At 51.4% G+C, this 25217-nt stretch overlaps 1 protein-coding gene and 1 pseudogene across 1 annotated transcript, besides 5 other annotated features; both read right to left on the bottom strand.

The window, feature by feature from the left end:
* Nucleotides 6659–7411: an enhancer, noted in NCBI's record as "H3K27ac-H3K4me1 hESC enhancer chr20:48606199-48606951 (GRCh37/hg19 assembly coordinates)". NCBI's record gives its function as "activates a minimal SCP1, AML or CMV promoter by ChIP-STARR-seq in naive H9 embryonic stem cells {active_cell/tissue: H9 hESC(naive)}" and the evidence as "EXISTENCE:reporter gene assay evidence [ECO:0000049][PMID:30033119]".
* SNAI1 (snail family transcriptional repressor 1) lies at nt 8187–14093 on the bottom strand. The gene is made up of 3 exons (NM_005985.4): nt 13932–14093; nt 12722–13249; nt 8187–9201 (listed from the first exon to the last, which is right to left on the bottom strand). The coding sequence occupies exons 1-3, from the start codon at nt 14011–14013 to the stop codon at nt 9017–9019; spliced, it is 795 nt and encodes a 264-aa protein (NP_005976.2). The 5' UTR covers nt 14014–14093; the 3' UTR covers nt 8187–9016.
* Nucleotides 14079–14598: a silencer, noted in NCBI's record as "silent region_13011". NCBI's record gives its function as "represses an Ori minimal core promoter by ATAC-STARR-seq in GM12878 lymphoblastoid cells {active_cell/tissue: GM12878}" and the evidence as "EXISTENCE:reporter gene assay evidence [ECO:0000049][PMID:35858748]".
* Nucleotides 14751–15688: an enhancer, noted in NCBI's record as "H3K27ac-H3K4me1 hESC enhancer chr20:48597922-48598859 (GRCh37/hg19 assembly coordinates)". NCBI's record gives its function as "activates a minimal SCP1, AML or CMV promoter by ChIP-STARR-seq in naive H9 embryonic stem cells {active_cell/tissue: H9 hESC(naive)}" and the evidence as "EXISTENCE:reporter gene assay evidence [ECO:0000049][PMID:30033119]".
* Nucleotides 17660–17759: a silencer, noted in NCBI's record as "silent region_13010". NCBI's record gives its function as "represses an Ori minimal core promoter by ATAC-STARR-seq in GM12878 lymphoblastoid cells {active_cell/tissue: GM12878}" and the evidence as "EXISTENCE:reporter gene assay evidence [ECO:0000049][PMID:35858748]".
* Nucleotides 17860–17919: a silencer, noted in NCBI's record as "silent region_13009". NCBI's record gives its function as "represses an Ori minimal core promoter by ATAC-STARR-seq in GM12878 lymphoblastoid cells {active_cell/tissue: GM12878}" and the evidence as "EXISTENCE:reporter gene assay evidence [ECO:0000049][PMID:35858748]".
* RNU6-147P (RNA, U6 small nuclear 147, pseudogene) lies at nt 24861–24967 on the bottom strand (annotated as a pseudogene).

Below are 25217 nucleotides of genomic sequence, written 5' to 3'. Positions count from 1 at the left end.
CCCAACTGTGGGTTTCACAGCAGAAGGAAGTCTAACCAAACAAACTCAAAAACAAAAATTCAAAATGGGCCAGGCGCAGTGGCTCATGCCTGTAATCCCAGCACTTTGGAAGGCTGAGGTGGGCGGATCACTTGAGGCCAGGAGCTCGAGACCAGCCTGGCCAGCATGGTGAAACTCCGTCCTACTAAAAATACAAAAAAAATTAGCTGGGCTTGGTGACACACACCTGTAATGCCAGCTACTTGGGAGGCTGAGACATGAGAATCATTTGGACCCAGGAGGCAGAGGTTGCACTGAGCTGAGATCGAGCCACTGCACTCCAGCCTGGGTGACAGTGAGACTCTGCCTCAAAAAAAAAAAAAAAAAAATGCTGGGCGCAGTGGCTCACGCCTGTAATCCCAGCACTTTGGGAGGCTGAGGCAGGTGGATTACCTGAGGTCAGGAGTTCGAGGTCACCGTGGCCAACATGGTGAAACCCCATCTCTACTAAAAAGACGACAACAACAACAAAAGGCATGATGGCAGGCGCCTGTAATCCCAGCTACTCGGCAGGCTGAGGCAGGAGAATTGCTTGAACCCGGTAGACGGAGGTTGCAGTGAGCTGAGATCACACTACTGCACTCCAGCCTAGGCAACAGAGGGAGATTTCATCTCAAAAAAAAAAAAAAAAAAAAATGGTGACCACACGGTGTTTCTGACAGGCACATATCAACTCACTCATCATTCCTTCAGCAATGTTTCCCGGAGCGTGTGCCTCCCACATGTGAAAGGGACTCCAGGGATCACTGCACAGTGAATGAAGAAGACAAAATTTCCACCTGCATGGCTGGGCATGGTGGCTCATGCCTGTAATCCCAGCACTTTGGGAGGCCGAGGCGGGCGGATCATGAGGTCAGGAGTTCAAGACCAGCCTAACCAACATGGTGAAACCCCGTCTCTACTAAAAATACAAAAATTAGCCATGCGTGGTGGTGTGCACCTGTAATCTCAGCTACTTGGGAGGCTGAGGCGGGAGCATTGCTTGAACCCTGGAGGCGGAGGTTGTGGTGAGCTGAGATCGTGCCATTGCACTCCAGCCTGGGCAATAAGAGCGAAACTCCATCTCAAAAAAAAAAAAAAAAAAAATTCCACCTGCATGGAGCTGACATTCTGGTGGGGGAAGACAGTCAACAGAGAAACTCTGAACAGGGAAATGAGTGTTTTGTCAGATGGAGAAAATAACAGGGAAAGGGGTTGGAATGAAAGGGAGAGGGATGGGAGGTGAGTGGCCATGTGGCTCTCTAGGGTAGTGCTCCTGGCAGAAGGAGTGGCAGTGCAAAGGCCCTGAGGGGGCAGGGAGCCTGGTGTGGCTGGAAGGAGTGAGGGGGGCGGGGAAAGGGATGAGGCAGAGGTGGTGGAGGCCCTTGTGGAACCAGGTAAGTGAGACGGAGCCATGTATGCATGGAAATATATTTGCTCATTTTTTTTTTGCTGGGTGCAGTGGCTCACATCTATAATCCCAGCACTTTGTGAGGCTGAGGCAGGTGGATCACCTGAGGTCAGGAGTTCAAGACCAGCCTTGCCAACATGGTGAAACTCCGTCTCTACTAAAAATACAAAAATTAGTGGGGCATGGTGGTGGGCGCCTGTAATCCCAGCTACTTGGAGGCTGAGGCAGGAGAATCACTTGAACCCAGGAGGCAGAGGTTGCAGTGAGCTGAGATCAGATCATGCCACTGCACTCCAGCCTGGGCAACAGAGTGAGACTCTGTCAAAAAAAAAAAAAAAAAAAAAAAAGAGACAGAGAGAGAGAAAGAAAAGAAATATAGTTGCTTTTTTTTTTTTTTTTTTGGAGACAGAGTCTTGCTCTGTTGCCCAGGCTGGAGCGCAGTGGCACAATCTCGGCTCACTGCAACCTCCGCCTCCTGGGTTCAAGCTATTCTCCTGCCTCAGCCTCCTGAGTAGCTGGGATTACAGGCACCCGCCACCATGCCCAGCTAATTTTTTTGTATTTTTAGTAGAGATCAGGTTTCACCATGTTGGTCAGGCTGGTCTCGAACCCCTGACCTCATGATCCACCCACCTCGGCCTCCCAAAGTGCTGGGATTATAGGCGTGAGCCACCACGCCCGGCCAGTTGCTAATTTTTTTAACTGACAAAGATGTAAACCAAGATCTCCATGGCGTCATGCTGGGGACAGTAAAGGCATAAGGATAGAGAGTGTTGATCACATGCCACTGGAGCTTCACATGTCACCTTCTCACTCTTTTAAAGGAGGGAATACGTTCCTGTGATATTTATGAAACTGACAATTTGGGCAGGTGTAGCGGCTCATGACTGTAATCCCGGCACTTTGGGAAGCTGAGGTGGGAGGATAGGTTGAGTCCAGGAGTTCAAGACCAGCCTGGGCAGCATGACGAAACTACATCTCTGCAAAAAACACAAAAATTAGGCAGGTATGATGGTGTGTGTGTTTAGTCACAGCTACTCAGGAGGCTGAGCTGGGAGAATCTCTTGAGCCCAGGAGGTTGAGCCTGTAGTGAGCCGAGATTGAGCCACTGCACTCCAGCCTGGGTGACACTCTGTCTCAAAAAAAAAAAAAAAAAAAAGGAAAAACGAAAAAAATAAACAGTTTGAAAGCAAAGAAGAACAAGGACAGTCCTGATCCCTGTCTACCAGGAGACCCTCATCCCAGCTCAGAGGATACCCATAAGTAGCCAACAGGTCACTAATGCAGCCCAGATGTGCCCAGAGATGGCCTTGGCCCCAGACCTGCCTGCCTTGACACTTGCATGGAGACTGGCTTTATAGCCAGTTTATTTCCTGGACTCGTTTTAAAGAAAATCCCCGGGGAGGATCTAATGGCCTGGCCAGATCCTGCTGCTCCTGGCCCCATTTCTCCCAACCCACAGCTCTAAGCCGCTGCCCCGACAGAGGGGAAGTCCTGCAGGAGAAAGCCAGCCAGTAAAGTAGAAGGAATGATGGGGTTAGAAAATCACCGTTTGGGCCGGGCGCAGTGGCACACGCCTGTAATCCCAGCACTTTGGGAGGCCGAGGCGGGCGGATCCCAAGGTCAGGAGATCGAGACCATCTTGGCTAACACGGTGAAACCCCGTCTCTACTAAAACTACAAAAAATTAGCTGGGTGTGGTGGAGGGTGCCTGTGGTCCCAGCTACTCGGGAGGCTGAGGCAGGAGAATGGCGTGAACCCAGGAGGCAGAGCTTGCAGTGAGCCAAGATCGTGCCACTGCACTCCAGCCTGGGCGACAGAGCAAGACTCTGTCTCAAAAAAAAAAAAAAAAAAAGAAAGGAAATCATCATTTGGTAACTACCATCGTAAAATGTAATTGATTTAGGCAAAAAGAACCTGAAAGGGATGAAACTTGTGGATGGAAGTTTGAGGCATCATAGGATCACATGGTCCTTTCCGTATCTTGTGAGGAGATACTCGGAGGCATCACATGGTCTTCAAGTATCTCTTCACAAGATACAGATTGAGCGCAAAGGGAAAAAGAGGAACTTCAGCAAGGAGGGACCTAGTGGGCCCCACCTTAACCAAGCAGTCAAAGTTGATGTCAGTCTGGGATGAGCCGACCTCATGTGCTTCATGACACCTTGCACCAAACAAGACACATGCTGCTTCTGTGGTTCTGCCCAAAGTGCGTATCCCAAATGTAATTATGAGGAAACATCAGGAAAAAAACTGGAGGGCATTCAACAAAACAACTGGCCTGTACTCTTCAAAAAACGTCAATGTTGTGAAAGACAAAGAAAGGCTGAGGAGCTGCCTTGGGAAAAAAGAGATTAAGTGAGCGGTGGCTCACGCCTGTTAATCCCAGCACTTTGGGAGGCCGAGGCGGGTGGATCACCTGAGGTTGGGAGTTCGAGACCAGCCTGACTAACATGGAGAAACCCCATCTCTACTAAAAATACAAAATTAGCCGGGCGTGGTGGCTCATGCCTGTAATCCCAGCTACTCAGGAGGCTGAGGCAGGAGAATCACTTGAACCCGGGAGGTGGAGGGTGCAGTGAGCCGAGATCATGCCATTGCACTCCAGCCTGGGCAACAAGAGAGAAACTCTGTCTCAAAAAAAAAAAAAAAAAAAAAAAAAAAGAGTCAGGACAAGTAGCTGGGCATGTCTGTAATCCCAGCACTTTGGGAGGCTGAGGCGGGCAGATTGCTTGAACCCACAAGAGTTCGAGACCAGCCTGGGCAACAGAGTGAGACCTTGTCTCTGTTAGAAAAAAAATTTTAAATAAATAAATAAAAGAGTGAGGACAAGTGAATGCAGTGTGTGATCCTTGCATTGCATCCTGGTCATTCCCCACCAGCTACACCCCCCAAAATGCTGTGAAAGACATCATTGGGGCACTTGCAGAAATGTGATTATGACTATGGATTACAGAGTAGCATTGCACCAATGTTAAATTTCCTAATTTTGATCATGAAACTATGGGAGAATGTCCTTATCCTTAGGACACATAGCTTAAATATTTAGCAGTAAAGGGGCACTGTGTCTATAACTTACTCTCATATGGTTCAGGCCGGGCGCCGTGGCTCACACCTGTAATCCCGGCACTTTGGGAGGCTGAGGCGGGCAGATCACTTGAGGCCATAAGTTCGAGACCAGCCTGGCCAATATGGTGAAACCCCGTCTCTACTAAAAATACAAAAATTAGCCGAGCATGGTGGCACATGCCTGTAATTCCAGCCACTGGGGAGGCTGAGGCACAAGAATCGCTTCAACCCAGGAGGCAGATGTCGCAGTGAGCCGAGATCACGCCATTGCATCCCAGCCTGGGTGACACAGCGAGACTCCATCTGAAAAAAAAAAAAAATTCAAATGGTTCAGAACTAAATAATGTGTGTGTATGTCTAGGAAGAGAGGGAAGATGTATCCATGATAAAACGTTAACGTATTGAAGAATCTGAATGTACGATTCCAGTTTACTGTTTCTTGCAATTTCTGTCAGGCTGCAATTATTTCAAAGTAAAACGTCTTAAAAATCTTTAAAAAATGGCTCCCTTCTTCCCTCCCTCCAGTCCTTGTCCACCCCAATCCCACCTCCTGCAACCCACCAGGGAACCACTTTTGTTAGTATATTGTCCTAACCTCCAGAGTCTCCGTATGCAAATACAAACAAGAATGAATCACGTGTTGATGATTTTCATCCCTCTTCTGCCCACAGAAGGGAGCACATCTGCCGGTGATTTCTTTTTCACTTAGTGCTTTGGGGTTTGCTCAGGATCAGAATATAGAGGCTTTCCCCATTCTTTTCTCAGCTTCATAGTATCTACCCCCACTAGATCCAACATCCCCTTGGTGGTGTGCTCCACCAAGCCCGGACTTTTTTTTTTTTTTTTTTTTTTTTTTTTTTGAGACAGAGTGTCACTCTGTAGCCCAGGCTGGAGTGCAGTGGCACGACCTCGGCTTACTGCAACCTCTGCCTCCCAAGTTCAAGGGATTCTCGTGCTCAGCCTCTCAAGTAGCTGGGATTACAGGCATATGACACCACACCCAGCTAATTTTTGTATTTTTAGTAGAGACGGGGTTTCACCATGTTGGCCAGGCTGGTCTCGAACTCCTGGCCTCAAGTGATCTGCCCCACCTTGGCCTCCCAAAGTGCTGGGATTACAGGCGTGAGCCACCTCGCCCGGCCAATTTTTAAATTTTTTTGTAGAGACAATGTCTCGATGTGTTGTCCAGGCTGGCCTTGGACTCCTGGGCTCCAGCAACCCTCACACTTCAGCCTCTAAATAGCTAGGACTACACAGATGTGAACCACCATGCCCAGTTCCCCAGATAATAATACTAAATAACTGTCACCCACTAGGGCTCAGGTGTGCTGGGCCATGGGCTGGGTGGCCACAACTGCCACAAGTTTCTTAAATACAGGCTTCATCTCCAAGGCCACCAACACCCTGAGCCAGGCCACCATCCTCCCTCCTTTCCTTCCCTCCCTCCCCTCTGGCCCTTTTTTGTTTGTTTGTTTGTTTGAGACAAGGTCTCGTTCTGTGACCCAGGCTGGAGTGCAGTGGCGAGATCTCAGCTCCCGACCTCAAGCGATTCTCCTGCCTCAGCTTCCCAAGTAGCTGGGACTACAGGCATATGCCCCACCATGCCCGGGTAATTTTTTATTTTAGTAGAGACGGGGTTTTGCCATGTTAGCCAGGCTGGTGTCGAACTCCTAGCCTCAGGTGATCTGCCTGTCTAAGCCTCCCAAATTGCTGGGATTACAGGCATGAGCCAGGGTGCCTGGCCCCCTCTGGCTTTCTCATGGTCTCCCTGCCTTTGTCTTTCTCCTCCTGGACCCCTGAGATCCATTCTCCCAAGCAGCCAGGGAGATCTTTGTAGGAAAGGTAACAGCAGGCCTCAGCACTCTCCTGCTTTACAGCCCCAGTGGCTGCCCTAGGGGCTTAGACAAAATTCCCACCTGCTTAGCACCACAAGCTCTGCAGAGCTGGGCCCACTCTCCTCTCCCACCCTGTCTTCCCAGTCCCTCCGCCATCCTGGTCTTTCTCATGGGGGCAGCACATTCCAGCAGGCTTGCTATTCCCTCCCCCAGATCCTTCCCTGCCGGCATCTTTCTCCTCCTTCAGGTCCGGGCTGGAATTCAGCTCTTCCAGGGCTCTCACTGCCTTGGCCTGGGGAGCCCCACCCCGTTGTTCTCTAGTGCCTGGCACCCTTTCATTCTGTCCTGGCACCATCACTGTAGAAAAGCGGCTTGTTTATTTAATCACTTGTTTGCTTTCTCTCTCCCCGACCAGAACATACGTCCCATGAACGCAGGGATGGCCTGTCTTGTTCACGGGTGTAACCCCAGGGCCTGGCACATATGGTACCCTCGAAACCCCTGAATGAATGAATGCCTCTGTACAGTCTCCGAGAGGAAGGCACTACTGTCACCCTGTTTTATAGACACAGAAACTGGGGCCCCCAGAGGGAGAGAGCCTTGCTCCAGGTGCCCTGAGAGTCAGCGGCATGAGCCCAGCCTACCGAACTCCCAGGATGACCTGAGGGGCCGGGCTTGGTGACCTCAGGCAAGCCCACCTCTGTGCCTCATTTTCCGGAGGCCCGACCCCCAGGGATTATGTGAAGTCATGAAATCATTCATTCAGCACCTACTGTGGGTGGATGGAGACGACCTAGAGGGACCCGCAGGGACCCAGGACACAGTAGGCCTTCAGCTCATGGATGCCCAACCCCCATCCCCCCAACTCCCTAACTTCCCTTCAGGGAGGCAGGCCACAATTTGGCGATTGTTAGAGAACGTTTTTTTTTTTCCTTTTGGGAGGAAAGCTGCAAGTCATTAAGGGCTGCTCCCGGCCTGCGGGTCACCATTTCCTGTTTAGAAGAAAGAATCATCTCTCCTTTGGAACATGAAGCTCCCCCCACCCCCAGCCTGACTCTGGGGCTCCGAAGCTCTGGGACGCCTCAGCTCCTCACAGGAAACTGGCACCTCCAGCACCTTTTGTGTTCAAAAAGGACACTCATTTTCTCCTGGCCCCAAGAGGCCCCCAGTGGTGAGGTCACCACCATCGGCTGGCGGGGAATGAATTACCCTAGCCCAAGACGCATGCTGACCGTCCCGCCGTCCTCGGAGCAGGAAGCTGAGTGACCCCTACCCTTTGGCCTGGCTTCTCACCCTACTGGCTCCAGCCAGCCAATTTCCTCGCATCAAAGGCCATTTGGTACCCAGCAGCAAGACGGAGGTGTGGGACTGACAAGGAGGCCCAAGGGGGCCTGGAGCCCTTGGAAACAGGAAGGACATCCTCTGTCTCCTTGGTCGCATTCCACTCGCATCTGGGGGAAGCGGACAATCCCACCCCAAAAGACCTGCAGTGCTGGGGCAGAGCTTTGCAGCCTGTCTAGTTGATAAGACCCAGGAAGCCAGCTTTGCACTCCGTGGGCCAGATCAACTTCAAAATTCAAGAACGAGAAAGTAAAAAGCCACAGTGTATAGTGAAGAGCTCGTATGGATGCCGCTGGCTCACCCAAACAGCAGCAGACAGGACACCCAGGCCAACGGGAAAACCCAGTCTCATAAGGTCCCTGACAGTGACACCCAGGACTCCAAAGCCCTATGATGTTTCCAAGGACAAGATTTAAGGCTGTGTCAGAAATATCTAAGCTTCAGGAATTCCTGTCCCCTCCTCCCTTACCAAAGACCTTTCAAAATACCCACTCCTCTATGACACCAAAGACTTTTTAATATATAAATTAACTGCTTTATTGAATATCAATAAACTGTACATATAACTATACAAAACGTTTCCTTGATACAAAATGTTTGAAATATAAATACCAGTGTACCTTTAAAAATGTAAACATCTTCCTCCCAGGCCCACCTGTCGGGCCCCCAGAATAGTTCTGGGAGACACATCGGTCAGACCAGAGCACCCCACTTGGGCCCCCGACAAGTGACAGCCATTACTCACAGTCCCTTTTCAGACATTGTTAAATTGCCCGGGAAACAGGTGCCACCCCACCAAACAGGAGGCTGAAATAGCTGCCTGGGCTCGGGGCATCTCAGACTCTAGTCTGCCACCGCCTCCGCAGGCCCTGGGGCTGCACCTGGGGGTGGATTATTGCATAGTTAGTCACACCTCGTGGAGGGTGGCCTGAGGGTTCCTTGTGGGGGGGTGTGTGTGAGGGGAGTGGGGTCCCCTGAGTGGGGTGGGAGCTTCCCAGTGAGTCTGTCAGCCTTTGTCCTGTAGCTCAAAGCAGCTGTATCCAAACAGCTCTGGATACAAAAACCCACGCAGACAGGCCAGCTCAGGAATCCCCCAGGGCTGGGGGCCAGCTGCCCTCCCTCCACAGAAATGGCCATGGGAAGGCCTCTTCCAGAGCCCAGGCAGAGGACACAGAACCAGAAAATGGTCTTCATCAAAGTCCTGTGGGGCTGATGTGGCCAGAAGTGGGGCACTCAGGAGGGAATTCCATGGCAGTGAGAAGGATGTGGGGTCCTTCCTGCTGGAGCTGGGGAAGGCTGTCAGGCAGGGGCAGGTATGGAGAGGAAGAGGGAGCCTCGAGGGTCAGCGGGGACATCCTGAGCAGCCGGACTCTTGGTGCTTGTGGAGCAGGGACATTCGGGAGAAGGTCCGAGCACACGCCTGGCACTGGTACTTCTTGACATCTGAGTGGGTCTGGAGGTGGGCCCGCAGGTTGGAGCGGTCAGCGAAGGCACGGCTGCAGTGGGGACAGGAGAAGGGCTTCTCGCCTGGGGAGAGAACGCCAGAAAGGCCGAGTGAGCCGTGGGACAACGGCTGGCAGTGATGGGAATCCCTCCCCGCATACCCCAAACCCTGAAAGAATCCCATGATCCCAGGAAAGCCAGGCCTCCGTCAAACACACAGCCAGGGTCCAAAGGCCGGGACCTGACGGAGCTCTGCTGCTTCCCACTGTGCAACTCTGAGCAAGTTGTCTGGCTTCTCTGAGCCTCCATTTTCCCACCTGTAAAATGGGGCTATTCACCCCCCACTCATAGGGGTTGATAAGTGACAGAAGGTAGGGTACTCATCCACATCCCGCAGGGACGTGCGAAGTGGTCAACAATGACTCAACACCTTTACTGATTCATCCTACTGTCACTTGATCCTACTGTGGTCTCATTTCAGAGACAGTGAAACTGAGGCCCAGAAGTAGCATGTTCAGGTTCCCCTGGCAGGACCCCAAAGCCTCTGATTTCACCTACTGCCCTTACTGCCTTCAGTCAAGGGAGGACGTGACTGGTGTCCTTACCATCAGTCCTGGAGTCATTCCTTGATTTACTCTGTTGGGGGCCAAAGCCAGAGTCAGCCTTAAGAGGCTTCCCCACCCCCACCTCCAAGCTGGTTAGGCCACTCCTGGGGCCCGGCCAGCAGCCTGCTTTCCTCACCACCCCACCTCCTGCGCTGTAATCCCAAATCTCCTTGTCTGTTCTCCAATCAGGCTGAGTCCCATAAGGGCAAGGGCCTCCTTTGAGTCCCTTCTGAGCCCCAGCCCAGGGCCTGGGCCCCTTTCTATCACCCAAGAGGCTACGGAAACCTGTGGCCCTGACACACCATCTGCCTGGCCAAGGCTGTGTTGGGAAAAGTCTTGCACATGGAGCTGGGTGCCCAGTAAATCCTCAACAAGCCCTTAGAGAATAAATAAGTCTGTTTTAAAAATTAAAGAGGCCTCAGAGGAGTCTGCCCCCTCACTCATGCCTCATAACAATCCCTGCTCCAACCAAAAAGCTATATAGTTCCAAAAACACCAATAATGTTGATTTGTTTTTTTCTGGGGGATGCAGCATTTTCCAAATAAAAGGTCATAACAGTAACCCATTAAACAAAAATCTATTGAGGCTGGGTGTGGTGGCTCACGCTTGTAATCCCATCACTCTGGGAGGCCGAGTGAGGCAGGATTGCTTGAAGCCAGGAGTTTGAGACAAGCCTAGGCGATAAAGCAAGACCCTGTCTATAATTTTTTTTTTAATCTACTGAGCTCCTACTAAGTGCTAGACACTATTCCATAATACTGAATAGTCTTTTTAAAAAACATGCAATTCTCCAATCCCCTCACGCCCAGTCTGATATGCCCGCAAGGTCAGGGCCCGCCTGTGAAATCCCAGCGCTGGATGGAATTTAAGAGCTGAGAGTGAATTCATTCCATCACCTCCTGGGTGCCTAGGGTGCCACACTGAGCTACCAGGGTAGGAGAGAGTCCAGAGGATGGCTCCAATGGGACCCATGCATTCAATAGGGACTTATGGAGCGCCTGAGAGCTGGACTCAGTCTCATGGGGCAGAAATGGAAACTCGCCACTCCAAAGGGTGGGGGACATAGAGGATTGGGGGAGGGGTGCCTGAGCACTACTCCACTCTGCCATTACTCAGCAGCCTCCACACGCCACGCCTGAAGGGTTTGTTGATTGCATTCTAAGTCTTCATGTGAATGAGAAGGGTAAGTTCACCCTTGTGAACTAAGGGCTGACTCTGGAGATCTGGAAAAGGGGCTGGAGTCCATTTGTAAGACCAGAGTTAGGACAGCACCTCCCTTCCCTTCCCAGGGCTGTTGGTGAAGTCCTGAGCACTACCCTCCTGTACAGTAAGTGCCCAAAGTGTGATGAGACCTGAACCCAAACAAAAGGGGAAGGAGACATTCTAGGACATGATGGGCTGGGGGCGGGGGCTGTGTGCACACGCAGGAGGCACAGACCCCCACTCCTTGGATCCCTCGCCCCCCAGACGCCTTCATGGTACTCCTGGCAAGTGTGAAATCGGCACCAGGCCGGCGGGGACAAAGGGCGCCGAGGGGGGCACTGTACATGCGATATCCCCGGATTAAAGGGGCCTGCCATGCAGTGGGCCAGCAGCTGTGACTGGAACAGGTGCTGGGCACCGCTGCCCCATGCACCTGCTCCACCCCTCCCAGCCCCCACCCACTGGGCCCACCATTAAGGCACACAATGGGAGTCAATGAGGACCGCAATGATACATTTCAAGGGGATTTCTGTGTCTCAGCCATGCCTTTACATTAAAATAATGTCCAGATGGGAGGTGAGAGAGGCAGGCAGGACTGCAGCACCCTGAGGGGTTCAACTGTCCCAAAATAGAGCCCTGTGAGCTGGGCAGGCACCCAGGAGGCCAGGCAGTTGGACCTTTACATGTTAAAATCAGAGCAATTGGTGCACGAAGGAAGAGAAATGGGTAGCCTTAGTCGAATAAGATGCCAATAAAGCCCGCGAATTGCCAGTCCTCCCAGACACCTCACTAACCCTCACCGCTCAGAGGTCAGGCGCCAGGCCAGGAAATGGCAGAACCTGGCCAGCTTGAACCCTGTGGAATCTTCTCCCTCAACTGTCACTCTCCAAAGAGCAGCTCCAGGCACAGTGGCTGCCACCATTCAAGTTCTAAAAAGTTCTACCTTTTCTCCATGTCCAGAAAGTTTTTTACACATTTAGTAAATTTTCAAAAGACGTGATTGTGTTTTCTGCCCCAAAGATGCCGTTTCCTGGTCTGTGTGCTAGGATTCAGTGGGGGTGGGGAAGCCGACCTGAGAACCGTTCGGGTATAATAAATTACTATAAAGTGATTAGCCACCTTTACAGCCACTCTCTAAAACATATGCTATCATAGTTTTCCCCTAAGGCTCAGAGAGGTTAAGTTGCTTGCCCAAAGTCACACAGCAAGGAAGCAGAGCAAATGCCAAGGAACCATTTTTGTGAGAGTTTAGCAGGTACCGGCACTTTGCCAGGTGCTTCCCATATGCATTCCTGCATTTAGCCTGTATAGAAACCCCAAAAGCTGTTCTCATGCCCATCTGAAAGATAGAGAAAATGAGGCTCACAGAAGAGAAACATCAGCCTAAGTTTTGAGAAAGTTCTCAAAGAAGGATTCAGAGCCAGGCGGGGGGTCTGACAACATCCTGTCTGGCTAGGGAGGGGGCGGACCCGGGAGAGGGTGTGGCCGGGTGGGCCCCTTCACACCTGGCCCCCACAGCAAGGTGTTGGTTGCACCTTTCCCATATCCAGCTCCGACCCATTTGGCTGAGAAACAGGCTGCAGGGGATTGGGAAGGTGTCTGCTTTGCCCATCTGCTTAGCTGATGAAGAAAGTTTCTGCCAAACGTTTCCAGAGAGCCAGGCCCTGGAACTTGAGCTAGAAGTTAGAAGACTCGGGGCCTCAGTGTCCACAGCTTTGGGAATGAGAACAGCAAGCCCAGATTCACAAAAGCTGCCAGAGAGAGCAACGGTGGGGGCGCCTGGAGGGGCACGTACCAGTGTGGGTCCGGACATGGCCTTGTAGCAGCCAGGGCCTAGAGAAGGCCTTCCCGCAGGTTCCGCAGACGCAGGGCAGCGTGTGGCTTCGGATGTGCATCTTGAGGGCACCCAGGCTGAGGTATTCCTTGTTGCAGTATTTGCAGTTGAAGGCCTTTCGAGCCTGGAGATCCTTGGCCTCAGAGAGCTGGGCCAGCTGCTTGGGCACTTGGCCCAAGCCTGGGAAGGCAGCATAGGCCTCGGCCTCCAAGGAAGAGACTGAAGTAGAGGAGAAGGACGAAGGAGCCGGTGAGGGTGGGCTGGGGGGCTGGGAGCCTTTCCCACTGTCCTCATCTGACAGGGAGGTCAGCTCTGCCACCCTGGGACTCTCCTGGAGCCGAAGGGAGGCCCAGGCAATTGGCTGGGCTTGGGGCGCCAGGACAGAGTCCCAGATGAGCATTGGCAGCGAGGCGGTGGGGTTGAGGATCTCCGGAGGTGGGATGGCTGCCAGCAGGTGGGCCTGGTCGTAGGGCTGCTGGAAGGTAAACTCTGAGGGAGAAAAAGCAGAGTCAGGCGTTAATTAAATCATTCACTCAATCAACAAACATGAGCCCACCGCTGGCCAGGGGCTGGGTGGGGCCGATTCTCAATACATAATTAGATCAAAAAAATTATCCACAGGACAGACCAGGTTCCTGCCCTCCTCGCCCAGGTCACCCAATCTGAGTCTCTCACACGTAGGACCCCCAGTTGAAGGAGGTCATTTCCTGATCTCCCTCTCCTAAGTCCCCAGTCTCCAGCCTGAGGCCAGAACCCCATCATCCCAGCCCCGGAGCCACCACCCTGCCCCAATCCCCCTCCTCACACACATCTCGTCTCCCCACCCCTCCCCTCAACCCTCTGGACTCCGGACTCTCCCCAGCAGCGTCCAGAGGGCCCTCCTGACACAGGCCTCCTCTCCTTCCCCTCTTGCGGAGCTCCTCCGCCTCTCGCCGGCTACAAAGGCCCCCCAAGCTGAAGACCCCTGCCCTCTACACGGCACTCCCCCAACCACCCAGACAGATCCCCGGAACTGGGGACCCACTTGCCCGGTCTCCCGAGCCCGCAATGGTCCACAAAACATCCTGTGACTCGATCCTGGCTCAGGCAGGCCGCCTCCCTCAGGTGCCCCCCACGCAGCCTTCGCCTGTCTCCCCCAAACCTCCTGGAGCCCAGAACCCCTCCAACGCACCTGGATTAGAGTCCTGCAGCTCGCTGTAGTTAGGCTTCCGATTGGGGTCGGAGGGCTTCCTGACGAGGAAAGAGCGCGGCATAGTGGTCGAGGCACTGGGGTCGCCGATTCGCGCAGCAGTAGCGCAGAAGAACCACTCGCTAGGCCGTGCCGCGGCGCAATGAATGCAGCAGCGCCGCCAACTCCCTTAAGTACTCCGGGGGGGTGGTGGGGGGTGGGAGGGGCGGGGCCTTATCTGCCACGCCCCTTTGTCACCTCCGCGCCAATCGGAGGCTCGTCTCCGCCGAAGGCCACTCCCCGAGCAGGTGCGCCGGCTGCTGGCCGGGCTCGCGCCGCGTGGCGGTGAGAGCCCGGGCGGGGACTCCTCCGAGGCGGGGTTCGCTGGCGCAGCGCGGGTCGTCCCCGGTGCTGGGGCTGTCCGGGGCGGGACGTCGAGCGAAGCGAGGCCTCTGCGAGGTGGGACCCCGGCAGGACGCCGCGCGCCCACCGGCTCAGCGCCCGGTGGTCTGAGCGCTTCTGACGCCCCCTGGCGCTGCGCGCCGGCCGGGACACCTGACCTTCCGACGCCCGCCCCCGCCTCGGGCTTGGGAGGGGGCGGAAATTTCCTCCGCCCGGCTGGCGCCTGGAGAGCGTGGCATTGACGAGGGAAACGCACATCACTGGGGAGGAAGCGAGGAAAGGGACACCGCACGTGGCTCTCGGCGGCTTGAAATGCCACGGCCTTTTTGCAAAGCAGCCTGGCCCAGCTAGCCAAGAGCACCCGTTCCTTCCCTTATCCAGTGTTTACGGAGCGCCCAGCACGTGTGGGGCACTGTACCTGGGGCCAGGGCACAGCCCCGGACAGAACACTCAGAGCCTCTCCCGAAGGGTAGCTTCTGGTCCAGTGAGGGAGACAGACGAAGTAAACAGATAATTACAATGCAAAGGGAAGTGTGCTTTGGTGGGGGAGAGACGGGACGCGGCGACCGTTAAGAGGCGGGTCACCTGACAGGGGGTCGGGGTGACTTCCCAGAGGAAGTGAAGAATTATCAAGGGAAAAGGCCCGAGGGAAGAAGTGGCAACTGCTTCAGAGTAACTCCTAGAGAGCAGCTTCCAGGGATGGGGTGGGATGGGCATGCCCGGAGGGGTCAGATGTGCTGGGCCCCAGGGCCTCGTAGGAGTTTGGACTTTGCCTCAAGGGCACTGGGGAGCCACCGAAGGATTTTCAGCTGAGGAGGGACCTGGTTAGAGTTTCGTTGAAAAAGATCCCTGTAGGCTGGCGGGAGAAAGAAGGCATGGGCCGGGCGTGTCTCCTCACCCCGTGAAGATCCTCGATCCTGTGTCTAAAGGCTGTAACACGGCTCCATAGGGGCCCTGACTGAATGCATGTGGGGTGGGCCCAAGTGAGGGGCAGCTGCACCCCCACCCCAGCTTCCCTGGGAGGCGTACCAGGCCCGGGGGTGGCTCTGAAATAAACCTCACAGGTCTCACCGTTCTTGTTTCCACCTGTGAAGGAAGACTATAAAAACCTATAAGCACCCCACACCACCACCACCACCAACCTGAAGGGCAGAACTACTGTCTGTTTAGTCACTTGGTGCCGGGTGTGACAGCCGTGAACAAAATCGTCCTCCCCTGGTTCTAGCTGGAGAGCGGGCAGTAGGGTGGGGGACAGAGGCAGTAAGCAGTCATTAAGCGGAATACTCCCCGTCCCGTGTCAATTTAGCTCCAATCAGGATCCTTTGCTTGAAGCCAAAGTGAGGCCAGATCACCCCCTCCTCTGCTCAAACCCTCCCATGCGCCTGTCTCAGAGTAAAAGCCAAAGTCCTCTCCTCAGCCAACTCGGCCCCGCTGCTCTGACCCCAGCTGACATTGGCTTGAGCCTCTCTCCCTCCCCCATGCACAAGGATCCCACCCCCAGCCTTCCTTCTGTTCCTCCAACATCCCAGACCTTTCCCACCTTGGCACCTGCTGCTCTTCCTCCTCTCCCCTACGTCTCTTGCTCCTAGATCTTCACGCTGGCTTCCTTTCATTCTTTGTTTCAGCAGCAACTTCACTAACTGCTCAGCCTCGTTTAGTGAAGAGAGAAATGGCAAATTCAAGCCACAGTGAGCTGCCATTTCACGCCCATCAGAAGGACAACAAGGAAAAATTTGGTCACTATCAAGAGTTGATGAGGAGGTGAGAGCTGGCGAGAGGGTCGGTGGGCATAGTCACTTTGGAAAAGTTTGGCATCAGCTAGCAACAGGTGACTCCTCTCCCTGTCTGTCCTCAAGCCAACTGCATCCCAGGGGCTGCAGCTGACAAGTCTGTCCTCAAACCAACTGCATCCCAGGGGTTCTCAGCTCTGGCAGCACATTAGATCCCCACAGGGAAGGATTAAAACACCTAAGCCTCGGCCCACCCCACCCCCACCCACATCTTGATTTAATTAGTCTGGGTGGGGCCTCTGGCATCAGCATTTTAAAAAACTCCCCTGGGGATTATAATGAGCAACCAAGCAAAGTAAAGAACTGTTGTCCAGCCCAAACCCCGAAAAAACAAAAAAGGATATTCATTGTACCCTCGTTCCTAATAGCAAAAAAAGCAAAAACTAAAACAAAACTGGATACAACACAAATGTTTATAAACAGTAGACTGGATTAATGAACCCTGGTGCAATCCTGTAATAGAATACTATACAGCAATAAAAATGAACTACAACTCCATGCAGCAACAGGGATGAATCTCAAAAACACAATGTCGAGCAGAGGTCACAAACAAATGCATAGTTATTTGGATTTATACGAGGTTCTGAAGCAGGCAAATGAAACCCTATATTATTTAGGGATGTATGTGGGGGTTGTAGAATTAGAAAGAAAAGCAAGGAAGTGGTTTTTTGTTTTGTTTTTGAGACGGGGTCTTGCTCTGTCACCCAGGCTGGAGTGCAGTGGCACAATCACGGCTCACTGCCGCCTGGAACTCCTGAGCTCAGCCTGCCAAAGTGCTGGGATTACAGGGGTGAGCCACTATGCCGGCTGCAAGGAGATGTTTGATACAAAATTCTGAAGAGTGGCTGGTGAGGAGGGGAGGCAAGAACAGGCTGCACATGAAGCTTCTAGAATTTTGGTAATGATCTGTTTCCTAGGCAGGGAGGGATCTTTATTGTTAGTCTTTCTACTGTACATGGACTATTTATTTTACCGTATCTTCATGACATGGTAGTGTACAGAGACAATTTAAACACTTTTAGGTATGAATAATATATTTAACACAAAAAATGTAAGTCACTTCCTCAGGGGAGCCTTCCCTGATCACCCTAGCCAAAGTAGGACCCACCCTTGCCCCAGCACCCACCTTCTTTTTTCTTTTTTTCCCCCTTTTTTCACTGAGACGCGCTACCATGCCTGGCTAATTTATTTTTTGTAGAAATGGGGTCCCACTATGTTGCCCAGGCTGGTCTCAAACTCTGCGGCTCAATTGATCCTCCCACTTTAGCCTCCCAACTTGGTGGGATTACAGGAGTGAGCCACCGCGCCCAGCCCACCTTTCTCTCTCATTGTCTTATTCTGTTTTCTTCAAAGCACATAATGGGGGCTCAATCAAGTACTTGCAGGCAGCCACTGCCTGGGCCTCCCGCTTTCCACTTTCCTTCAGTGGTCAGGCACCTGCGCGGGGCATGGGGGTGGGAGGCAACGCAGAGGGGAGGGGCCTTGCTCAGATCGGATCGAATTGTCCCCGCCACCCCCTCCAGGCCCGCCCTCGCTCCACTCCCTCCTGCAGGCGGCGGAGACCACGAGGTGAGAGGAGGCTTCGGGCCAGGCCTCTCGGCCGCAGACCCAGCTCCCTTTGCAGGGGAAGGTGAGGTGACACTTTTGATACTGTGGGGTCAGGTCCTCCCGGAAATGGGCGACATCTGCGGCCCAGGTGGCCTGGGACCCGGCAGGGCCAGGCCCTCCCCAGCTCCCCGCACGAGGGGGTCCCGCCCCAGGCCTGGGGCGCGGTCCTCTGGCGCCCTCTGCTGGCCAAGGCGCCTCCCTGCAATCGTCGCGGGGTGCAGGGGGCACGTGCTTTTCAGGGAGGTGAAGGCTGGTATAACTGCCGGGAGGGCAATCTGGGAATACCTAGTGTGCTCACGAAAGGCTTCTGGAAGGAAGGTACATTTGAATAGACACCTGCATTTTCTGCAGGTGCCAATCTCCCACTAGAAGTAAAACCAGTAGCTAAATAATGTGATTTACAGTTACCCAACTAAAAGAAGAGTCTCCCTCCATTCCAGACCTCCTTTTCCCTCCCCAAAGCAACCTTTTTTTTTTTTTAAACCAGTGTCTTGTATGACCTTCCAGGGATGGCCTATGTATATATTAATATGTGCATGGGCAGTGCGTGGTGGCTCACACCTGTAATCCCAGAGCTTTGGGAGGTCAAGGTGGGAGGATCGCTTGAGCCCAGAAGTTTGAGACAAGCCCGGGCAATATAGCAAGACCCTGTCTCAAAAAAACAAAACAAAACAAAACAAAAAATAGGCAGGTTACATGCCTGTTGTCCCAGCTACTCGGGAGGCTGAGGTGGGAGGATCACTTGAGCCTGGGAGGTAGAGGCGTCCATGAGCCAAGATCATACCACTGCACTCCAGCTTGGGCAACAGAGTGAGATCCTGTCTTTAACTATATATATATATATATATATATATATATATATATATATATATGTATATATGTACAGCCCTTTATGTATTACAAATAGGAACCTCCACACTAACCTACACCTTGCTATAGTAACATTTTTTTGTTTTGAATCGTCATCACATGGGTAATGCTATAACAATATTCAGTGTTTTGAAAATCATTCCATATCATTACACGCAGCTCCCTTAGTTTTCTGCAGGGATGCGGACTATTCATTGTATGGATTATAGCACAATCACACAATTTACCTAACACGAAGACTCATGATGGGCATTTAGGTTAGATTGCAATTTATTGGCTACTACAAATAATGTGGCAATTTCAATGAATGCCCTCTACACACATCATTGCACTTCACATCAAATGGTATGTTATATAAAATGTTGATACATTTGTCCAAATGCCATCCAAAAAGATGAAACTGAACTATACTCCCACTAGCAGGGAGTTGAGGGCCCCTTTTCAAAAGTTGCCCAACACAGAGTATTGTCTTTTTGTTTTTCTTTTTTGAGACAGGGTCTCGCTATGTTGCCCAGGCTGGAGTGCAGTGGCATGATCATAACTCACTGCAGCCTCCATCTCCTGGGCTCAAGTGATTCTCCTACCTCAGCCTCCTGAGCAGCTAGGACTACAGGGCTACAGGCATGAGCCACCACACCTGACCCTGTCTATTTTTTATTTTTTGAGACAGTCTCACTCTGTCACCCAGGCTGGAGTGCCATGGCATAATCCCTGCTCACTGCAACCACCGCCTCCCAGGCTCAAGTGATCCTCCCACCTCAGCCTCCAGAGTAGCTGGGACTATAGGTGCGAGGCATCACATCTGGCTAATTGTCTTTTGCTTTTTTTTTTTTTTTTTTTTTTTGTAGAGCCGAGGTTTTGCCATGTTGTCTAGGCTGGTCTCAAACTCCTTGGCTTAAGTGATTCACCTGCCTCGGCCTCCCAAAGTACTGGGATTACAGTCATGAGCCACCTTGCTGGCCTTTAACTTTTTTATCTTTGCCTGTCTGATAAGGGAAAATGGGATCTCCTGTTGTCATTTGCATTTCACATGACTAGGGTGGAGCATTTTTTTTTTTTTTTGCGACAGAGTTTCACTGTTGTTGCCCAGGCTGGAGTGCAATGGTGTGATCTCGGCTCACCACAACCTCCGCCTCCCACGTTCAAGTGATTCTCCTGCCTCACCCTCCCATGTAGCTGGGATTACAGGCATGTGCCACCACACCCACCTAATTTTGTATTTTTAGTAGAGCTGAGGTTTCTCCATATTGGTCAGGCTGGTCTCAAACTGCCAACCTCAGGTGATCCACCTGCCTCGGCCTCCCAAAGTGCTGGGATTACAGGCATGAGCCACCGCACTCAGCCGTGAGCCACCACGCCCGGCAGTGTGGAGCATTTTTTACATACACCAAAGCCATTTCTGTTTCTCTGTGCTCTGAACTATTGCTTCATGTCCTTTGGTCACCAAATTGATGAACTTGATTTCTTTCCTTTTTTAAAATCCTGCATGTCCTTCCAGTGAATGAACTTCTTAATTTCTAAGAGCTCTTTATTAGACTGGTGGCCCCTGTTGATTAGCTCATTATCAGTGAATGAATTGATCAGGAGTTGGAAAGTTAATCTTGACCAGGAGAAAGACATTGTCTACAGAAAGTTCAATGAATGAGTCAATGCTCTACTGCCATCCTCATCCTGGATTTAACCTCTTCCTATGCCTCACACTTGCCTAAAAACAAACAGTGATTCAGCCGTGGGCCTTATCCAATAAGCCCTCTGTGAAGTCACCATTTCAGAATACAAATTGCTTCTAAGGGAGGTTTCTGGGTCAAGGTCTAAGTCCGTTGGGCATGACCCATGGGGGGAGGCTCCAAGATAAGCTATACAAGCCTTTGTAAAATGGTATTTATTTTTTATAATTTTAAAAATTAGAGATGGGGGTCTCACTATGTTGCCCGGGCTAGTCTCAAACTCCTGGGCTCAAGCAAACCTCCCACCTAATCCTCCCAAAGTACTAGTATTACAGCTAGCCTTTTCATTCCTATTTACTGAGCACCTGCTGGGTGCCAGGCTCGTTGTAGGAGGCTCACCTCAGGGATGTCCCTATAGCATCCCAAAGTTGTATTCTAGGCTCCTGCATACAGGCCGAGGCCATGCGGGGACCAATGAATACATTACCCATCTGCCCCGAAAAGAAGGAAAAAGCTCTGGATGTAATGAAATCATATCAAGATATTAAGTGCTAAAAAGCAAGGTGCAAGCCGGGCTCGGTGGCTCACGCCCGTAATCCCAGCACTTTGGGAGGATGAGGCAAGTGGAGCACCTGAGGTCAGGCATTCAAGACCAGCCTGGCCAACATGGCAAAACCCCGTCACTACTAAAAATAAAAAAATTACCTGGGCACGGTGGTGTGCGCCTGTAATCCCAGCTACTTGGGAGGCTGAGGCAGCATGGCTTGAACCTGTGAGGTGGAGGTTGCAGTAATCCGAGATTGTACCACTGCACTCCAGCCTGGGCAACAGAGTAAGACTCTGTCTCAAAAAAAAAAAAAAAAAAAAAAAGCAAGGTGCAAAACACCATTATACAGGTATTTCTTAGGACATTAAACCATCTCTGGAGAGAGGGTAATGTGCCTGTCTCTGAGGAGAAGCTGGTAGCTGTCAGCAGGGGTGGAAGGAAGATTCTTTACTAAATATCCTTTCCCATGTCTTGATTTTATTTTTTATCATTTACAAGTATTATCGGCATTATTATTATTATTATTTTAGAGACTGGGTCTCGCTATGTTGCCCAGGCTGGTCTCGAACTCCTAGGCTCAAGCAATCCTCCCTCCTCGGCCTCCCAAAGTATTGGAATTCGGGTGTGAGCCACGAATCTGGACAATTGGATTAATTTTTAATAGGGTAGCAAAAGTCGTCCATACGGCCAGGCGCAGTGGCTCACGCCTGTAATCCCAGCACTTTGGGAGGCCAAGGCGGGCGGATCACGAGGTCGGGAGATCGAGACCATCCTGGCTAACACGGTGAAACCCCATCTCTACTAAAAATTCAAAAAATTAGCCGGGCATGGTGGCAGGCGCCTGTAGTCCCAGCTACTCGGGAGGCTGAGGCAGGAGAATGGCATGAACCCAACAGGCAGAGCTTGCAGTGAGCTGAGATCACGCCACTGCACTCCAGCCTGGGCGACAGAGCAAGACTCCGTCTCAAAAAAAAAAAAAAAGTCGTCCATGATAGAGGAACTGTTGAGTGTAAAACAGGCGCATCAATGGAATCTTTCACGACTGTTAAAATGTTCACGCCTGGCCAGGCATGGTGGCTCATGCCTGTAATCCCTGCATTTTGGGAGGCCGAGGTGGATGGATCACCTGAGGTCGGAGTTCGAGACCAGCCTGACCAACATGGAGAAACCCTGTCTCTACTAGAAATACAAAATTAGCTGGGCATGGTGGTGCATGCCTGTAATCCCAGCTACTTGGGAGGCTGAGGCAGAAGAATCACTTGAACCCAGGAGGCAGAGGTTGCAGTGAGCCAAGATTGTGCCATTGCATTCCAGCTTGGGCAACAAGAGCAAAACTCCGTCTCAAAAAAAAAAGAAAAAAAATTATGTTGATGCTCGGCCAGGTGCGGTGGCTCACACCTGTAATCCCAGTACTTTGGGAGGCCAAAGTGGGTGGATCACTTGAGGTCAGGAGTTCGAGACCAGCCTGGCCAACATGGTGAAACCTCATGTCCACTAAAAATACAAAAAATTAGCTGGGCATGGCAGCAGGCACCTGTAATCCCAGTTACTTGGGAGGCTGAGGCAGAAGAATTGCTTGAACCCAGGAGGCGGAGGTTGCAGTGAGCCAAGATCGTGCCACTGCACTCCATCCAGCCTGGGGGACAGAGGAAGACTCCATCTAAAAAAAAAAAAAAAAATGTCGATGCTGTTCTGTGGGTACATAAACCCTCCCTGGTCCCAGCTCTCTTGTAGGAAAATCCAGAGCCTTCACTATGGCCCACAACGAGGCCCTACAGGATTGGCCCCCTGTGGCCCCTTGAGCTCCCCACCCTAGCCCCCATACTCACTATCGCCCACAAGGCTCCGGCTGCAGGGCAAACCACATCAGCCATGCTCCTGCTTTGGGGACCTTGCATCTGGTGTTCCCTGTCTCCTCCCAGCTCTTCTCCCATATAGCCACAGGGCTCACCCCCCATCGCAGCAAAGCCTCCCAGGCCACCACTTCATCCCCCTCTCCTCCCTTTCCCTCTGGCACGCCTTCCCCTCTTGCTGCTTAGTTTTTCTCCACTTCGCTCATAATCTGGCATGGTGTATGTTTCACTGATTTTGTTGATTTCCCTTTAGACTGGAGGTTGCCAAACTACAGCCCTCAGGCCAAATCTGACCAAGGTTTGTTTCTTGTATGGTCCTTGAGCTAAGAGTAGCTTCTACAGATGAACACTGCAACCGATTTAATGGTAGATAACAGTTACTTGGAACCTCAATTAAGGCAATATGTGAACCTTCAAAATTCCATGCTTGCTGGACCTCATGGTTCATGCCGGCAGTCCCAGCACTTTGGAAGGTGAGGCGGGCGGATTGTTTGAGCCCAGGAATTCGAGACCAGCCCAGGTAAAATGGCAAAACCTCATCTTTACAAAAAGTACAAAACTTAGCCAGGCATGGTGGCATGTGCCTGTAGTCCCAGCTACTTGGGAGGCTGAGGTGGGAGGATCACTTGAGCCCAGGAGGTCAAGGGTGCTGTGAGCGGTGATTGTGCCATCGAACTCCAGCCTGGACAACAGAGATTCTGTCTTGAATTAATAATAATAATAATAATAATTCATGCTTACAAAAAAAACTGGCTGGGCCCAGTGCCTCTCACCTGTAATCCCAGCACTTTGGGAGGCCAAGGCGGGAGGATCAGTTGAGTCCAGGAGTTCCAGACCAGCCTGGACAATGTATCAAGACCCTATCTCTATTATTTATATTTTAAAAACAGACAGGCTGGGCACGGTGGCTCACGCCTGTAATCCCAGCACTTTGGGAGGCCAAGAAGGGTGGATCGCTTGAGTTCAGAAGTTTGAGACCAGCCTGGCCAACATGGCAAAACCCTGACTTTACCAAAAAATAAATACAAAAATTAGCCAGGTGTAGTGGTGTGTACCTATAGTCCCAGCTACTCAGGAGGCTGAGGTGGGAGGATTGCTTGAACCTGGGAAATCGAGGCTGCAGTGAGCCAATACTGCACCACTGCACTCCAGCCTGGGTGACAATGAGAGACCCTGCCTCAAAAAAAAATTAAATTAAAAAAATGAAAAACAAAATTGTACTCAAATATTATTATAATTTAAATATTGTCCATAAAAATTTTGTGGGAATTTGTTTTCTCTTGTTATATGAGTACTGACATAACATCCTTGCTATTTAAGTCTGCAAAACCTAAACATTCACTTTCTGCTCTAGACAGCTCCACACAGGCAGGAACTTTGTCTTGTCTGCTACTATGACCTGAGCACCAAGAACAGGGTCTGGTTCAGTAATTATTAGCTGAATGAAATGAATGAACTCATATATATATATGTGTGTGCGTATATATACATATATATGTATGTATATATATGCTTTTTTTTTTTTTTTGGAGACAGAGTCTTGCTCTGTTGCCCAGGCTGGAGTGCAGTGGGATGATCTCAGCTCACTGCAGACTCCGCCTCCCAGGTTCAAGCAATTCTCGTGCCTCAGCCTCCCAAGTAGCTGGGATTACAGGTGCGAGCCACCATACTGGGGTAATTTTTGTATTTTTAGTAGAGATGAGGTTTCACCATGTTGGCCAGGCTGGTCTCAAACTCCTGACCTCAGGTGATCTGCCCGCCTCGGCCTCCCAAAGTGCTGGGATTACAGGCATGAGCCACCATGCCCTGCCGGAACTCATATTTTTAACTGAAAAAAATATCAGGTGTTAAAAAAAAAAAAGAAGAAGAAGAAAAAATTCAAGTGGGCTGGGTGCAGTGGCTCACGGCTGTAATCCCAGCATTTTGAGAGGCCAAGGCAGGAGGATCAGTTGAGCCCAGGAGTTCAAGACCAGCCTGGGCAAGATAGCAAGACTCTGTGTCAACAACAACAAAATTAATAATTAGTTGGGCATAGTGGCACACACCTGTAGTCCCAGCTACTTGGGAGGCTGAGGTGGGAGGATCCCTTGAGCCCAGGAGTTGGAGACTGCAGTTAACTATGATCATGCCACTGCGCTCCAGCCTGGGTGACAGAGCAAGACTCCGTTGCTTTTTCTTTCTCTTTCTTTTTAATTAAAAATATGGAATGCTTTATGAATTTGTGTGTCATCCTTGCATAGGGGCCACATTAATGTTCTGTGTATCATTCCAATTTTAGTGTATGTGCTGCTGAAGCAAGCACAGGACTTCATCTCTTAAAAAAATATATCAGATGAACAGCATATGTAATAGGCTGCCTTTTGTGCAGAAGTAAATAATATCTGTCTCTGAGAGGTCCAAGAAGCTGACTGCTTCAGAGGACAGGAGCAGGGTGGGGTAGAAAGATGTCTTCTTTTTCTACAAGCATTTTTTTTTTTTTTTGGAGATGCAGTCTGGCTCTGTTGCCCAGGCTGGAGTACAGTGGCTCGATCTCGGCTCACTGCAACTTCCAC

This window comes from Homo sapiens, chromosome 20 (assembly GCF_000001405.40).
Source record: "Homo sapiens chromosome 20, GRCh38.p14 Primary Assembly".
NCBI classification, from domain to species: Eukaryota; Metazoa; Chordata; class Mammalia; order Primates; family Hominidae; genus Homo; species Homo sapiens.
The sequence above is the reverse complement of the archived record's forward strand: the minus strand, read 5'-3'. Positions and strand labels throughout refer to the sequence as shown.